Source organism: Homo sapiens, chromosome 5 (genome assembly GCF_000001405.40).
Source record: "Homo sapiens chromosome 5, GRCh38.p14 Primary Assembly".
In the NCBI taxonomy this organism is placed as follows: Eukaryota; Metazoa; Chordata; class Mammalia; order Primates; family Hominidae; genus Homo; species Homo sapiens.
Window position 1 is genome coordinate 124,227,641 of NC_000005.10, and position 17,966 is coordinate 124,245,606.

The window sequence follows — 17,966 nt, forward strand, 5'->3', positions numbered from 1 at the left end:
TTTTTTTTTTTTTTTTTTTTTTGAGGAACTACCATACTGTTTTTCATCACAACTTACAATTTTACATTCCTACCCGCAATGTACAAGCGTTCAAACTTCTCTACAGCTTTGCAAATATTTTCAGCTTTGCTTTTGAGATTTATCCATAACAATACAGGTAAATCTTTTACCTGCTGTCCAATATTTTATCTTGAATATACCATATTTTATTATCCATTCCCTGAAGGCAGTATTTAGCTTATTTCTTCCTTGTTACTGTTACAATTGATGCCACAATGAACATTCCTTTATATCTTTTTGTGCACAGATATAAAAGTTTCTCTGGGCTACATACCTAGAAGTGAAATTTCTGAGTCACAGGGCATGTGTAATTCAAACCTTAATATTTATTGCCACTTTTTTTCACAGGGCTAATTCCCAAATTACACTCCCACCAGCAGAATATGAGAGTTCCTGTTACTCCACACCCTTGACAACAATTGCTAATGTCATAATTTGCATAGAATTTCTCTGTAGTTTTATATAAAGAGCAAGAGGACTTCTGCATCTGCTCAGTCTACAAGTTTACAATATTATTTCTCTGTTGGTGTGTTTTTGCTTTTATCTCTTTTCTGGCCTGCCTCTATTGCCCTCATCTCTATTTCCCTCTTCTCCTTTTGATACATACTTTTTCATGACCGTTAATCTTAATCTTGAAATTTTTCCCACTTGTGAAACTCTCCAAAACTGAGCCAACAATCACCTTCTTCACAAGAACTATAAAGTGAAATGACTTAAAGTCCTCAGGGAATTTTCTAAGTGGTTAGCTAGTATCTACATGTGTCCTAACCAGCAGAGTCAGCTGCTAAGCCATTCTTTGGCTAACTTCTGGGGAAAAGTTTGGGGGAATGAATGCATGAACTTCATTCATTCCCCCAAAGGGGAGTAGAAAAGGAGTGCCCAGCTATGACTGGCAGTATCACTTTATCTACAAATTCAAGGCTAGGGCTAGGATGAGGCAAATAACACATTCATCTCAGACATAAAATTGATGGAGACCCCAAAGCTCAGAAATCAAGAAAAATAATATTATAGTGGAATTTTTTAAATGAAAATTAATGCCAAAAATCCACGGTAAATAAAATATCAACATTTTAAATAAAGACAAGATCTGTATCATTATCATATCTCTATTGATTGTAGCCGTTAAAGTTTAATCTAATAAATCCTTTCTTTATATTTTTTGACATGTTTAACAAAAGTCAATTAAGCCTCTCAAATAAAATTCATACACATGCCTCATTTTAAAAATTCAAAATGAAATAGCTTTATGAATTCTCTTGAATGTAAGAATGCCAAGGAGAAAAATTTGAACAGATTTTTAGTCAGCAAAATAAAGATGCACTTGGAGATTAGCATCACAGAAATGGTTTTCTCATTTGTCAACTTGAAATTAACATTAACAGCCATTTGTAAAACTTAGTGAACTTTATGAAGTACACATCAGTATTCTACAAAAGTCATAATTGTAATGCAGATTTTCTACAATCACAGGAAAGATAGTCCTCACTGTCCAAGAGAAGTGTATTAGTTTGCTTGGGCTGCCATAACAAAACACCACACTGGATGGTTTACACAATTGAGATTGATTTTCCTATGGTCCTGGAGGCTGTAATTCTAAGATCAAGTTGCTGGCAGACTGGTTTCCTTTGAGGCCTCTCTTCTCACCCTCTTGCACCTCTTTGTATGACTTCTGTGATGTAAGACAGGGATGATACAGGGTGGTCACAGGAGGACAGAAAACTCCAGGCAGAAATTTCATATGACTAGCAAAAGGAAACTGTTGAAATATGTGCATAATCTAGAGGCCAATAAGATCCTGAAAACCAGGGTGTGGACCAGGCTGGCTAAATCCGACTAGACCCAAGGTGGTACTGGATTTGACCCAGGTTTCACCTAGGACCTCATTATACCATCATTAGCACATTAAACACACATCCACCAGCACCATGACGGTTCCCGGAATACCCATGTTTGCTATAAACATGGGTGTCACCACAGTTCCCAAAAATCTCCATTTGTTCCCAGGAATCTTCATGAGTATTTCACCACTTGATCAAAGAAACCCACAAAGACAAACCCCAAACCCAGTGTGTGACTCTCTCCCGTATGCCCGCATTCTCCTTTCTTGATTGTGTATATGTACTTTTCCCTTTGCAATAAATCTCTGTACTTTCACTATTTTCCAACTCATCCTTGAATTTCTTCTTGTGACAGTGTCAACAGCCTGGACACCAGCCGGGGTCAAGATCCCACTGACAGGGACAGGAAGCAGGGAAATTCTGGGCAGAAGAGGGCGGGTCCCTGGAGAGGGCCCCACCCTCAAGCCTGGAACCATGGCCCAAAGCAAGAACTTACATCCCTGTTTCCCTGCTCCAATGTTGCCTTTTCCAAAACCACCCATGGCCTGCCCCACCCCCGATCTTGTGCCCATAAGAACCCAGGATCATCCAGCAGGGAGCAGGAGAAGCAGCTGGACATCAGAGACTACAATTGGACGTCAGAGAAAAGCGTTTTGACTTAGAGGGACAGCTTGATGGCATAGCTTTGGAGAGGAGTCCGGCCAGGAACAGCTGAACTTCATGGGAAGATTACGTTCCCTCCATGTCCTCTTTTCAGCTCCCCTTCCCACTGAAAGCCACTTTCATTGGTAATAAATTCCCCCACATTTACCATCTTCAATTTGTTCATTGGACCTCATTCCTCCTGGATGCCAGACAAGAACTCAAGTGTGAGTGCAAATGGCTATCACACTGACCCTCCACTGAGCTGTTAACACTTAAGCTGTCCAAGGACAGCAAAGCTGAAAGAACACTATAACACTCTTTCTGGGGCTTCAGGGGTCAAGGGCACCCCCCCAGGCACTGCCACAGGGTCTGCATGGAGTTTTACTCCTGCCAGCGCCCGAAAGCACTCACCCGTCTCCTGCACTGGCTCACCTGAGTGCTCCCCGCCGGCCATGACGGGTGAAGCACAGCAGGTTAGAGTAAGTGGAATTCATCCCTGCTGGCGCTGAAGTGGCCAGCTAGTTTCAGCACTCCTGCACTCCAGTTCCTGCCCAAGAAGGGATCAGGGAAATATCCTACTTCACTACCAGCATTTGGGACCTCCCCTAGCCCACTAGTATCACATGTGCATCCCTGGATCTCTGTAAGTCCAAATTTTCTCCTCTTTTAAAAACACTAGTCAAATTGGATTAAACCCTACCTTAACAGCCTCACTTTAACTGAATTACCCCTCTAGAGGTCTCATCCCCAAATACAGTCACATTCCTGAGGTACTAGAGGTTAGGGCTTCAATACATGTATTTGAGGATTTGGGGCACAATTCAGCTGAGGGTTAGGGGGAAATTAAATGTTTGCTAGCAAGGAGGTTTTATCCCCTGACAACTGATCTAGGGCTAAGAGAGGAAGCCAGGCTCTGTTCTAAAACAGAAATGTCCTCAATTGTTCAACCTATCTGGATGTCAGTAACACACAGCAAACCCTTATTCAAACTGGATAGATAGAAGCTGTGAAAACTCCAAAGTCCTTTGGAGCCACCACTATGATCTTATCCAGTTCCTTGAGTAACCCATGAACACTACTGAATAGCATCAAGGTGTAAGACAAGATCACCAAAGACAAATTCATACAATCCAGCCACTCTACCAAACAGTGAAGTGATACTTACAACATCACAACTCCACTGCAAAGAATGGGGTCAGCGGGATACTCTGGCAGCTGGAGTGAAGTGATCACAGCAGTGAACTAGAACCATAGCCTCGAGCAATGCAGCCCGTTTGTAAATGGCTGGGGAATCCCAGTGTCTAACAGTTCAGCTTCCTCTTTCTATATAAAAATATTCTTTTTGAGGAAAAGTTTGATACTTTTTGTGAGTCTAGGAGTTAGCGTCAGAATTGCCAATGGACCTTTCAGCTAGCAAACCGAATTACCACAAAAAAATTTGTACTCCTCTTTATTTAGGGAGTGATGCCTGGGGGGGAAAAAAAGAACAATATTTAAATGGCTTTCCAAGTTTCCCAAATCTAACAGAATAAGTAGTTATTTCAGGGTTCTAATTCCTCTGGTCATCTTGAAAAAGCCATGGAACATTTACATTCGTGTACAAATTCTTACACTTGGAAAATAAGGGCCCCAACATCAGAGAAAATGAAGTGTGTAGGTGGACTGCTCATTTATAAACTTCTTAGATGCCTCAGAAGAAAAGGATTATATAAATCTGAAATACTTATGACAGCTTCCTTTAAATGGTGATACATTTCGGAAAAGCAAATGCGAAGGTTCATGTTAATGAAAAAACACTGTCTACTACGTCATGTTTGCCTCCTGTAAAGTACCAGAATCTCAAAGTCCAAGTTTATGGTGTTTGAACTTAGATTTTGCTTGTGGGAGGGAAGTTGATTGATTGCTATTTCTAAAACAATGCTATTTCTGCTTTATTCAGTGTCTGACATCTTAATAAATGTGAACATGGCCTAACAGGCTGCAAATCCCTTCTAATGCCAGCATTCAGGGGATCTAAGTTATAGAAAACTGTTTTTCTTATTATCATTTCTCCTTAATGCTTAAAAAAATAAAAAATCCCTGGAACAATACTCCCTACTCATCTCACCTACTTGTTAATCGGTTAGAGAAAGCATATTGTGGAAAGCATATTGTAATGAGTGAATAGCTGTTTTAAAAGAAGAATCGGGGGAAAAAAGGCATGACATTGAACAGTACAAATGATCCAGACTTTTGCTCTACCAAACCTCGGGGCAATGTCTTTTCAATGTCATTCTTTAGAAAAAGTCTTTGAGACCATGAGTATCTTTTTAAACAGGGTAGTCCGGGGGGAAAAAAAAAAGAAAGAAAGAAAAGGAGAAAAAAAGAAGGAAGGAAAAGAAAGGAAAAAATAGGATAGAAATTTTTAAAAAGCTTTTTTTCTTAAAGCAAACAGCTAAGTGATTTGCTGCATGCTTACCATGAATAATAACAAGCAGACTGGTGCTGCGTTCCTCTTTTTAATTAGCACATTGCCGTCTGCGGTGGCACCCTGTCTTATGACAGGGCACCTAGCGTGCCCCACTTCAAGCGCTGCACAAAACAAGACGGGCAAAGAAGGCCCAGTGAGTAGTCTTGGGGAAGATATAGAAAGCTTCCATTTCCCACCCCCCTCCCGCCCCTCCGACCCCAACGAAGTTTTCACCAGAGTCTGAGAAATCGTTCTGGCTAGTTTTGTTTTGTTTTGTTTTTGTTTTGCCTTGTCTTGCTTACAGAACACTGTAGAAATCCAGAAATACATGAAGCTATCTTCCTTGAATAAATTACTTATTTGCTTCTTTAGTACTAAATTACTTCTTTAGTTCTATAGTTCCAAGTATAGAACTAAATACCTGAAAGCATTTTAAAAGGCAGGGAGAGGCCAGGCGTGGTGGCTCATGCCTATAATCCCAGAACTTTGGGAGGCCGAGATGGGCGGATCACCTGAGGTCAGAAGTTCAAGACCAGCCTGGCTAACATGGAGAAACCCTGTCTCTATTAAAAATACGAAAATTAGCCATGCATGGTGGTGGGCACCTGTAATTCCAGCTACTCGGGATGCTGAGGCAGGAGAATTACTTGATCCCAGGAAGCAGAGGTTGCAGTGAGCAGAGATTGTGCCACTGCACTCCAGCCTGGGTGACAGAATGAGACCCTGAAAAAAGGGAAAGAAGGAAGGAAGGAAGGAAGGAAAGAAGGAAGGAAGGAAGGGAGAGAGAGAGAAAGAGAAAGAGAAAAAGAAGGAAGGAAGGAAGGTAGGAAGGAAGGAAGGAAGGAAGGAAGGAAGGAAGGAAGGAAGGAAAAAGAAAGAAGAAAGAAAGAAAGAACAAAGAAAGGAAAGAAGGAAGGAAGAAAAAGAAAGAAAGAAAGGAAAGAAAAGAAAAGAAAAAAAGAAAGAAAAGAAAAGAAAGAAAAGAAAAGAGAAGAAAAGAAAAGAAAAAAGGCAGGGAGAGTGCAAGACCAGCATTAGAACTCACACTATCAAGATCAGAGGTGAGACAAAGCCCTGACACAATCTGCACTCAATAAAACAGTGTTCAAATTTTAACACAAGCACTTCTGACCCTAAAACAACAATGGAGATTGTTAAAGACCTCTGTTCTGGCATCCTTATTTTTGGAAAAGATTTAATAGTCTGAAAGCAACCTTCAAAGTAGCAGAGGCACGAGAGTAATTCTGATAACTTTGGATAAATGTATAATCTCTTGCAAGGGGAACTTCAAGGGCAATATGTCAGAAAAAAAAAAAAAAAAAGAAGAACAGTTGGGAAAATGAAAACCAGTCTTAAAAATCATACTTTTATCTGTAATTAAAAAGCATTTACAACATCTCTGTCAGCAAACCCTGAAATGCAAGTTAAAATATCAAGCAGCTCCTATGTTGCTGTATGAATCTGTTTGCACGCACATACATATATCTAGTACAGAATGTTAATTCATTTTCCATCACCAGGAATGTTGGGCATGCTGACACAGCGAAGTGAGGTAATCTCAAATTGTTCCAGGATTTGATTTTCATGTGAGTGCAGCCTACAGCTGCATTTGATAGTGCAGCACATTGATATGACACCTTTTCTACAAGGTCTTTGGTGGAATACATCTGCTGAACAGAACAGAAACAAAATATGTGCCTTGACTCAAACTTGTGACAGAGAGCTATCAAAGTGGAAACCTGCTCGAATCCATTTGCATAATATGCAGATGAAAATCTAATGAGAAAGGTATATTGACAGACGTTGCCTTGTTATCTGGCAATGCTGTGCATAACAGCATGTGGTACCTAGACATAATCTCCTGTAATGTTATTTTGCAATTTAAATGTTTTTTTCCTCCTCCAAAAGAAGACACACATCAATAAGTGCCAGGCATCAATAACTGACATTTGAGATAAGATAAACCACACCAACTCATTCAAACAGAATCAGCCGAGTTTATTTTGGGACACAGGTCTCTACATTATGTGCTGCTGGCTGAAGAAGAGGGAAGAGAGGCAGCCCCAAATGCTCACTGATGCCTCATTTTTACTTGTGTTCTGATGGCTGCTCATTCAGCCCTGGTCCCAGTTCTGAGTATATTTCAAGGAACATTACTGAGAACAAAATCGAAGGCCATCAATATTAATGATCTGAACCAGGAAGATAGCTTTTAGTGTGCAAATTAATTACCCTAATCACAGGGTTTTTTGTATCCATTTTAATGAAATAACTATTTATTTCATTGAATCCCATGCTTTTCTTTTGCAAATAAGGCACATTTACATGATAAATACATGAAATTTAAAAGGATGACTAAATTAAATTGAGGAAAAAAGACCTTTTTAAATACAATTTTCTTAGGAAAAACAGCTAGATTAATGGGTTGGTTAGCTGACTGGCATCTGTGATTAAATCTTTTTTAATGTACATCAAATAGAATTTAATGGACCTTGAGAAATGTCTACACAGTCAGTAATATTGAGGGGCTGTAGAAGATTCCAGTTGTCTCCTGTCATTTGTTGGTGAACTCCTGAGTCCTTGGCCTTGGGACTCTGACACAGGCTTTCACACTTTTGGCCTCTGCTTTTTCACTGGGTCCTCTTTCTCTTTCCTTTGACCTTACTCTTTCCTTTAGACCAGGTTGTCTTCTTGAGCAATGTAATCAATGCATTCATTTTCCAGAATGCAGGCCAAAAAATAACTACATTATCAATGAAAGCATTAAGAGTTTAAATATGCCTCATATTTAATCATCTAATTCACATTTGTTTCAAACTGTGCTGGCTTTGGTAACTTTAGACCAAGAGTGATAGGAGGAGAGGGAAGGAGGAAGGAAAGGAGAGAGAGGGAGAGAGAGAGATGCTTAATTCAGAGGAATTTTCAATGAATCTTTTAGAGTCTATGGGTTTTGAAAACTTTTATTTATTGTGGGTAAGCTTTGAAGGGCTGCAAATTCAACAGAAGAGAGATTTGAAACACATTCCAGCTCATTTTTTTTTTTATAACAGACCCAAAGAACAGAGCATCTTTATCTGCTTGCTCCCCCACAACCCCCCACCACCCTTCCCCCGCCCGCCCGCCACCAGAGATATCTCCCTCTCCCTTTGATTTGGAATGATCAATTGCAGCTGCAGCAGCCGGGCAGGCGGCCCCAGGCACCAAGAACATGAGCCTTTTCCCTGCACATTAAGATTTACATTTCAATGGATGCCACCATTTTAAAGATAATTATAACCTTTTTAGATTAATAATTTTCTGTGGCTTCTCTAATGTTTTAACAACGTAAATATTAATTTTGCTGGTTTAAGAGGAAATGTTTCTCTCTCTCCCCTCCCCCCTCCTCTCTATAACTTGCAGAGTGCGGAACAAGGGTTTCCACCCAAATCTTTCCGGGGCAGGGTGTAGTGGGAAGATAGGATGTTGAACTAACAGATATGATTCAAGTATCTTGGCCCTAACCTGGCCCAGCTCTTATAATTTCAGTGTATTTCAACTATGAAAGACTGAAAGCAGTTATAGGGGGCAAAAGACAATGAAGCTACTTTCTGCATAGACGACGTTTAGAAAGTCAGAATTTTTAAAAAGTAAATTGTTTTCAGTTTTATCCAACCTAGAAAGTCAACCCGCAAGACCTGGCAGATGGGATTCACATTTCTTCGATCATATTCCAAGTGCGGTGGGAGATCTCACAAAGATGAAGCTGTCTTGATGAACTCAATAGTCTTGAAAAGAGAAAAAAGGAAACTGCCCACAAAAGATATTGAGACTATGAAGAGGCTTATATTTCACTGTTACTGCAAACTTCCTTTCTGCTTATTATCATTCCAACACTTTATTTCCCAGCAGCTGATGCAGCTGGGAAAAACATCACATTGCACAAACAGATGTCGACTCACTTAAATTGCCTGACCATGCTCCATGGACTGTGATCTATTTTTTGCTGCCCCACAAGTATTGAGTATGTTGTAGACATGGGGACATGGCTTTTTTCCCCCTTCTTTTTACACTCATTAGGTTGCTACAAATATTCTCTTAAGGGCTTATATTCTCCTTATATCACTAGGCATCATTCAAACAATTTACATCAGGCAAATAAAATCAGAGGAACATGTTTCCCATATCCACTGATAACTGAGAGGAATCATGTATATTAAGAAGAAAATTGATAATAGTGCTGGTCAGATGTTACAAGCAGGTCATTCGGTTGCTCTCCTTGATAAAGTGCAGAGCTACAATAATTGCCCTGAGATCTCTTTATGGACAAGACCTTTATTTCCTAGGCACCAAAGCCATGGGATTGAGCATTGCTTGCAAGTGACTTGGGGAATAAAACTGCTCATGAAATATGCATGACTAACACATAGGCTGCCAGGGGAACTGAGTGTATTATGTATGACCCTGCTGTAATTGTAAGGAAATGATATTCATTTAAGTGGATGATTATCACAGTTAAAGGTGCACCTAATGAAACAAAGGTCATAAGCCTAAAAACACAAGGTTATAGCCCTTTTATCGCACCACTTCTCTCTCTGTTTGAAAAGACCTGGCCTTTATTCACAGCTGTTTTTCTAACACCTGTGTGCTCTGTTTATGCAGCCTTAAAGAGTTCCTGTCACCCATATTTAAATGCCAAAAGGACTATTATATTAAATGTTCTTCTAAGATTATTTCCACACATCTGGGAAATATCAGACAGCATGCTGCAATATATATCAATTCAGGCTAGAGTTTTTAGCTACCGATATTTGGTTAGCTGAGGAGTATCCCTTCCTCCCACCACCAGCCACATTTCTCTCTATGGGAAATGTCTAACACTACATTAAGTGAGAACTGGCTTTCATTCTGAGATCAACAATGATGTGATGTGAACCTTCTGGAGTAGACCAAACTCTGAGACAAAATGGAGGTAGCTTTACAGAGTGGATAAAAACCACTATTCAGGAGCCAAACTCCTAAGAGTGGAATCCAGCTCCACTCTTCACCAGTTGTGTGACCTTGGGCAAGTGACATAACTGCTTAGTGCTTCTGAACAGAATCTTAATCTATAAAATGGAGCCCATACATAGTTGTGACCTCACAATGTTGTTACGAGGATAAATGAGTTAATATTTTAAAAGAGCTTAGAACAGTTCCTGGTACATAGTAAGTGCTACCGGTTTGTTAAGTTAATAAAATACACAGTTTGTATGGTTGGCTTGTTTTGCTGTTCCCCTCCTCCATGTACCCCTGCAATCCTTTTGTCATTTCCTTTTGTACCCAGTGAACTTCCTAGTGCCCATGTTCACCTTTAGGCTTCAGTTGTGTTTTAGTCTGCTTGGGTTGTTCCAACAAAGTACCATAGACTATGTGGCTTATAAAGAGCAGAAATATCTTTCCCACAGCCTGGAGAAACCTGAGTTAGGGTATAAGCATGGCCAGGTTTTGGTAAGGGCCCACTTCCCAGGTGCAAAGAGCTCACTTCTCACTGTGCCTCCTCACATGGCAGAAGAAACAAAGGAACTCTCGCAGGTCTCTTTTAAAAGAGCAGTGGTCTGGGTGTGGTGGTGCACCTGCAGTCCCTGCTACTCAGGAGGCCGAGGCAGGAGAATTGCTTGAACCCTGGAGGCTGAGGTTTAAGTGAGCCAAGATCACACCACTGCCCTCCAGGCTGGGTGACAGAATAAGACTTCGTCTCAGAAAAAAAAAGAAAGAAAGAAAGAAAAAGAGCACTGGTCCCAAAGGCCCCACCTCTGGATATCATCACATTGTGGGTTAGGAATTGAACATATGAATTTGCGGGTGACACAAACATTCAGACCATAGTGGTGCAGCTTGTACCACATCTCACCAGTAACCACAACTTCCAGCCAAGGCAAACTGCGTGCAGTAACATGCCTTGGCGAGGGCAGCAGCAACCCATCCGATGGAGGCTCGTTCACTTACAAACAATAAGCACCTGAGGACTTTCCCAGTCTTGCTGACATTTGCCTAGTAAGTTCACAGAATATTGGGAAATGGGGGAAAATCACGCTAGAAAAACACACAGGAGAGAAAACCACAGGAGTCTTCATGAGCTGAATCCAAATTAATAGTGACTCTTCTAATTACCTTAATGTCATTTTGTTTTGCTTCAGGAGGTAAGGCAGAAAAATAGAACAGAGACGCCACCTTATACAGGGAGCATATATTAGCTCTGGAGAGTTTTACAGATTTCATAATGCTTTCATTCATCATTTCCTTCTGATCTCAAAATTACCATTTGTGATGGATAGGACAGTTTTCACCATACCCAGAAGGTTTTAGATAACTTATAAACTCCTGACCTTTCCCTTCCAAAATGTAACTTCTTAGGATAACCAAAGTTGTCTGACATAAGATAAAATAGAAGCAGTAAAGTCAGTGAGAAGAATTGGATTTTATAAAAACCATTAGACTGGTAACCATAAAATAACTTCCCTGCAAAAAAAAAAAAAAAAAAAAAAAATCACAAACTTTGTTTTCTTAGCTTTTAAAGAAAAATCACTGTGATGCAATCGCATGTAGCAAAGGAGTTGTGAAGCTGACATGGCTGTGTTTGAATCCCAGCTCTGGTGCTTACTATCTGTGTGACCTAGGGGAAGTTACTTCACCTCTCTGTGGCCTCAGTTTCATCTGCTGTACAGGGATTAAAAAGCCCATAGCGTTGCTAGGTTTCTTAGCAAGAGAATACATGTGAGTTTAGAACAATGTCTGGAATGTAATAAGTACCCTGTTGTAAGCTATTTTATTATTACTGTTAGAATAAAAATCAGCATTTAAGAAAAGTTTTTGGCATTTCATGCTCAGAGGCATTTGTCTGCAACACTTTTTGATAGTTTAAAAACATGCATTCAAATTCTTTGACACTCCATCCTTCAAAAGGTAAAATTCACTTCTCACCTTGAATGTGGGCTGTACTTAGTGGCTCATTCCTAATAATTAGAATGTAGTGGAAGTGATAGTGTGTGAATTTCAAGCCTAGGTCATTCAAAGCATTTCCATTCTTGACATGATTTGTCTTGGATCACTAGCTCTGGGAGGAAGCTAGCTGCCATGTTGTGAGGACACTCAAGCAGCCCTCTGGAGAGGACATGGGAATGAGTCATCATGGGAGGAGACTTTGGCTGCAGTCAAGCTTCCAGATCATTTCAGCCTTCAGCCCTTGAACTTTTCAGAGAAGGCACCAGACAGGTAGAGTAGATATAAGCCACACCTACTGTGCCGTACCAGAATTCTCAACTCGTTTAAAATGATGAGATAATAAATCGTTGTTTTAAGCCACTAAGGTTTTGGGCAATGTATTATACAGCAATAGGTAACATCCTTCAATGTAGAGGTGGGAGTTTCACTTGCCATGCTGAAGACATGTATAGATAGGGATGAGTAGTGAGGCAAGGTTTTAGAGATCTAAATGAGCATAGACTACAGTGCAAATTAGCGAACCTTTTGAACATCCTTGATTATACTTCACTTTTGTGTTATCTATTAACATAGAATCTTTTTTTTCATACCTAAGTAAAATAATTCTGTATCATATGTAGTACTTACTTCTAGGATGACCAATCACCTAGTCAGTCTAGGACTGTCTTTGATTTAGCAAATGAAATTTATATGTCCCAGGAAACTCTTCAGTCCTTGGCCAACCAGAATCTAATCACTTTAGATTAGATAATTATAAATATCTCATATGAGCTAGTCCTATAGGTAAAGAAAAGACATTTGGGCTGGGCACAGTGGCTTATGCCTGTAATCCCAGCACTTGGGAGGCCAAGTTGGGCGGATCACTTGAGGTCAGGTGTTCAAGACCAGCCTGACCAACATGGTGAAACCCCATCTCTACTAAAAATACAAAAATTAGCTGGACATGGTGGTGCACACCTGTAATCCCAGCTGCTTGAGAGGCTGAGGCAGGAGAATTACTTGAACCTGGGAGGCAGAGGTTGCAGTGAGCCAAGATCGTGCCATTGTACTCCAGCCTGGGTAACAGAGCAAGACTCCATCTCAAAAAAGAAAAAAAGAAGACATCTGAATGGAGGTTTTTGTTTCAATACATGCTTTTAGAGGAAGGAGAGACATCCCAAATAGTCCCCACCTCATCATATTTCTCCACACTTCTCTGAATCTTGTCATACTACTGCTGAGCCCTTCATATGGAGAGGAAAGATGGCATAGAAGGAGAAGAGATCACTGCCACTTAGCCTTCAGCTCTTTAAGGCTCATGGGATCTAGAGGTGCAGGGTAGACAGTGATGATTGTTGTCAGGAGGTGTGAAGGTGTCAGGAAGTAGAAAGCAGGGTTCTAGGGGAAGCTCTGCAAGCCTTAGTGGCAATTGAGTATGGACAGAGAATGCTCAAATCAACTTTCCTCCCCTCTGCCCTTTGGCTATCGTCTGTTTTGTTTCATGATTTAGAAGTTTGTAAGGGGTGTAGTTTATTGTTTAAAAATACTTTCAAGTTCTGGAAAAGATAATGGGATGGATTCTCATCTATAAGTAGAACAAAGAACCAAGAATTCAGCTGCAAGCACACCCTTTTTCCTGCCTGTCAATAACCAAAATAGCATATAACTGTGTATTTCTTGTGAAACTATCATGTGGGCAGGAGAGAACTAGATAGAGCATTTATTGCTCAGGGTTATATGATGCAGAGACTAGGTCATACCAGTCTAACAAATTTCACCTGCTTAATTCCATGGTGGACACATGAGAATAGCGTAACTTGTTCAAAAGGAAATGTACCTGAGTTATGAACAAAGGAATTTATAAGTCAATTAATAGCTTTAACAAGGGAAATGTTAGCTGACACAATAGAATAGCATTTGCATCCAAACAATATGGGTAAATTATAAATTTATCTTTTTGTTAAAGCACTCTTTTTTCTTCATCTGTCAGAAGGGTTACTCTAATTTTAAAAATACTGCTAATAGTCATATTCAACATGTAATGAGTAACAATAATCATATTCAACACATTGTGTGCCAGGTACAATTGCACTATACCCATGTTAAATCAATAGATAGGACAGGCCTAATGAGGCAGGTGCTACCAGATCCCTATTTTACAAATAAGGAAACTGAGTCACAGAGTGACTAAATAATGTTTCCAAGGTAACTTCACAAGAAGGTGGCCAAAAATCCTAGTGTTCACACTCCATACTTGGTCTTTTTCTTTGATTAAATCAGCCTCTGATTATGCAGAGTTTTATTTTAAAAAAATCTGCTCCTCCTCTTCTAATAAGAGTAAATTAGCAAGTTCAGCTGCCTGCTCTAAGAAAAGTGATTCTGGTTCAAGAAACACAAATTAGGGGGAGTTGGATAAAAGCAGTGAAACAGATGGAGAAAGAAATGTAGGAGAGAGGATTAAAGTAGGCAAGTGAACCTAAAGAAGAGAACAGGAGAACAGAGAAGAAGAGAAGAAAAAGAGGAAGAAAATAAGAGAAAGAGTAAAGGGGAAGGAAAGAATGGCAGGAGGACAGAAAGGCTAGAGAGTTGGAGTAGGAGAAAATGTTAACACAAGCAAGGGTTCCAAGTTCAGATGATATCAGTGTTTTACATGTAGTAAATAGTTAAATGCTAAAAGTAAGGTGATAGTTGAAGATTTTCTTTCTCTGAATTTTTCTTACAAAAACTGTTGTTAAATGTAAAGAAGCAGGGGGTGGAATTGGCATCAGAAGAAAAAAAAAATGCCTGCTCAAGATTTTGTCTGAGGCAGGACAGACTTCTGACTGCAAAGGGAAAGCCACAAGAAATTAAAAAATCAGTCCGGGCACAGTGGCTCATACCTGTAATCCTAGCACTTTGGGAGGCTGAGGTGGGTGGATCACTTGCGGTCAGGAGTTCAAGACCAGCCTGGCCAACATGGTGAAACCCGTCTCTAATAAAAATGCCAAAAAAAAAAAAAAAAAAATTAGTCGGGCATGTTGGTGCATGCCTGTAATCCTAGCTACTCAGGAGGCTGAGGTGGGAGGATTGCTTGAACCTGGGAAGTATAGGTTGCAGTGAGCTGAGATCATGCCACTGCACACACCAGCCTGGGTGACAGAGGGAGTTTCCATCTAAAAAGCAATAGAAAGAAAAAAAGAAAAGAAAGAAGTAAAAAAATCTAGAAAAGTATAGCAATGCAGGCAGAGGCAGAAGTCACATTCCCAGAGGACATTCTACCAAAGCAGTACCTTTTCAAACAAATTTTAAGGACGTTCATTGACATACAGTGTTTAAGACAGTGATGAAAACGAGTGCAGTGGTTTTCATCCCTGCACTTGTTTGATATATGGTTTATGTCTTAGTCTGCTTTGTGTTGCTATAAGAGAATGCCACAGACTGGGTAATTTATAATAAATAAAAATTTATTTGGCACACAGTTTTAGAGGCTGGAAAGACCAAGAAGAGCACAGAACTGGCATCTGGCGAGGGGCTTTTGTGCTACATCATACCATGGCAGAAGGCAGAGAGGCAAGAAAGGGAAAGAGCTAGTGTGCAAAAAGGGGCCAAACTCACTTTCACAACAAAGCCACTCTGGCCATAACTAACCCACTCCCACAAAAATGACAGTAATCCATTTATGAGAGTTAACCCTCATGACCCAGTCACCTCTTATTAGGCCCCACCTCTCAACACTGTCGCACTAAGAATTATGGTTCCAACACATGAATTTTGGAGAACACATTCAAACCATAGAATTTTGCCTTTGGCCCCAAAATTCATGCCCTACTGACAAGGCAAAACACATTCATTCCATCCCAATAGTCCCAAAAGTCTTAATTCATTACAGCACCAACTCAAAAATCTAAAGTCCAAAGGCTCATCTGAATCAGATGTGAGGCCAGGCATGGTTGCTCACACTTGTAATCCCAGCACTGTAATCCCAAGCCTTGGCAGCCTCCAGGTGGTGTTGAGCCTGCAGGTAGACAGAAGGCAAGAGTTGAGGTTTGGGAACCTCCACCTAAATTTCAGAGGATATACGGAAACACCTGGATGTCCAGTCAGAAGTTTGCTGCAGGGGCAGAGCCCTCATGGAAAACCTCTACTGGGGCAGTGCAGAAGGAAAATGTGGGGTTGGAGCCCCTACAGAGTCCCCAATAGGGCACTGCCTAGTGGACCTGTGAAAAGAGGGCCACCACCTTCCAGACCCAAGAATGGTAGATCCACCAACAGCTTGTACCATGTGCCTGGAAAAGCTGCAGGCACTCAATGCCAGCCTGTGAAAGCAGCTGGGAGGGGCACTGTACCCTGCAAAGTCATAGAGGCAGAGCTGCACAAGGTTGTGAGAGCCCACATCTTGCATCGGTGTGACCTAGATGTAAGACACAGAGTCAAAGGAGATCATTTTGGAACTTTAAAGTTTAATGATTGCCTTGTTGGATTTTGGACATGAATGGGGCCTGTAGTCCCTTTTCTTTGGCCAATTTCTCCCATTTGGAGCAGGTGTATTTACCAAATGGCTGTATCCCCAATGTATCTAGGAAGTAACTAGCTTGTTTTTTATTTTACAGGCTCATAGGCAGAAGGGAATTGCCTTGCCTCAGATGAGACCTTGGACTTGGACTTTTGAGTTAATGCTGGAATGAGCTAAAACTTTAGGGGACTGTTGGGAAGGCATGATTGTATTTTGAAATGTGAGGACATGAGATTTGGGAGGCACTGGGGGCAGAACAATACGGTTTGGTTGTGTCCCCACCAAAATCTCATCTTGAATTATAGTTCCCATAATCCCCACATGTCTTAGGAGAGACCTGGTGGGAGGTAATTGAATCATGGTGGTGGTTACCTCCACGCTGTTCTTGGGATAGTGAGTGAGTTCTCATGAGATCTGATGGTTTTATAAGGGGGTCCCCGCCAACACACAACTTTGCTCTGCACTTTTTCTTGCTGCCACCATGTGAAAAAGGATGTTTGCTTCCCTTCCACCATGACTGTAAGTTTCCTGAGGCCTCCATAGCCCTGTAGAACTGTGAGTCAATTAATTTATAATTTCTTTATCAATTACCCAGATTCAGGTATGTCCTTATAGCAGCATGAGAAGGGACTAATATAAGGACTTTCCCCCTCCCTTCATCCACCACTGCAGACACACATGGGGCTTCTCCCACAGGAGCTCAATGTGGGTACACCTATAGACAGCATTTTTGGATCACTTCAGGGTGACCATTTTTCCAGAGAAGAAATGACCTCCAGGTTAAGCCTTGCATGAAGGGTGGAGTAACAATCCCTCTCTACAAGGAACATCAACATTCTTGCAGATGGAAAGAGTTGCCTATCTGCCTAAAAGGAGTTCTAAACCATGAAACAAAAGCCTGAACTATCAAACCCAGTAAATAAAATGTGAGGAATAAGTAAGTCAATAAATAACTGCACACCACAGAGGAATGAGATAAGCTTCATTTAAAGAAATGATCAAAGTCTCTAAGAAATATAGAATTATGTAAAATGGTCAAACCTAAGATCATTGGTGTTCCTGAGGGAGAAGAGAAAGCAAAAAGTTTGGAAAACTTATGTGAGAAAATAATTGAGGAAAACTTCCCTGGCCTTGCTAGAGATTTAGACATTCAAATATAAGAAGCTCAAAGAACTCCTCAGAGATTTATTGCAAAAAGGACATCACTGAGTTGTACAGTCATCAGGCTATCTGAAGTCAACATGAAGGAAAGAATTCTAAGAGCAGTGAGACAAAAGCATCAGGTAAGCTACAAAGAAAAACCTATCAGACTAACAGCAGACTTCTCAGGAGAAGCTTTACAAGCCAGAGAAATTGGAGTCCTATCTTTAGCATCCTTAAACAGAATAACAGTCAACCAAGAATTTTGTATCCAGCAAAACTAAGTTTTGTAAATAAAGAAGAAATAAAGTATTTTTCAGACAAGCAAATGCTGAGGAATTTGTTACTACAAGACCAGTCCTGTTAGAAATGCTAAAAGGAGTTCTAAACCATGAAACAA

At 40.5% G+C, this 17,966-nt stretch overlaps 1 long non-coding RNA gene across 1 annotated transcript in view, besides 1 other annotated feature; it reads right to left on the minus strand.

Annotated features, from left to right (window-relative positions):
- Positions 1 to 17,966, minus strand: part of LINC01170 (long intergenic non-protein coding RNA 1170) — a 378,727-nt gene that overhangs the window by 167,847 nt on the left and 192,914 nt on the right. The gene's annotated exons all lie outside the window — the stretch shown is intronic.
- Positions 2,459 to 3,234: an enhancer, noted in NCBI's record as "H3K4me1 hESC enhancer chr5:123565792-123566567 (GRCh37/hg19 assembly coordinates)". NCBI's record gives its function as "activates a minimal SCP1, AML or CMV promoter by ChIP-STARR-seq in primed H9 embryonic stem cells {active_cell/tissue: H9 hESC(primed)}" and the evidence as "EXISTENCE:reporter gene assay evidence [ECO:0000049][PMID:30033119]".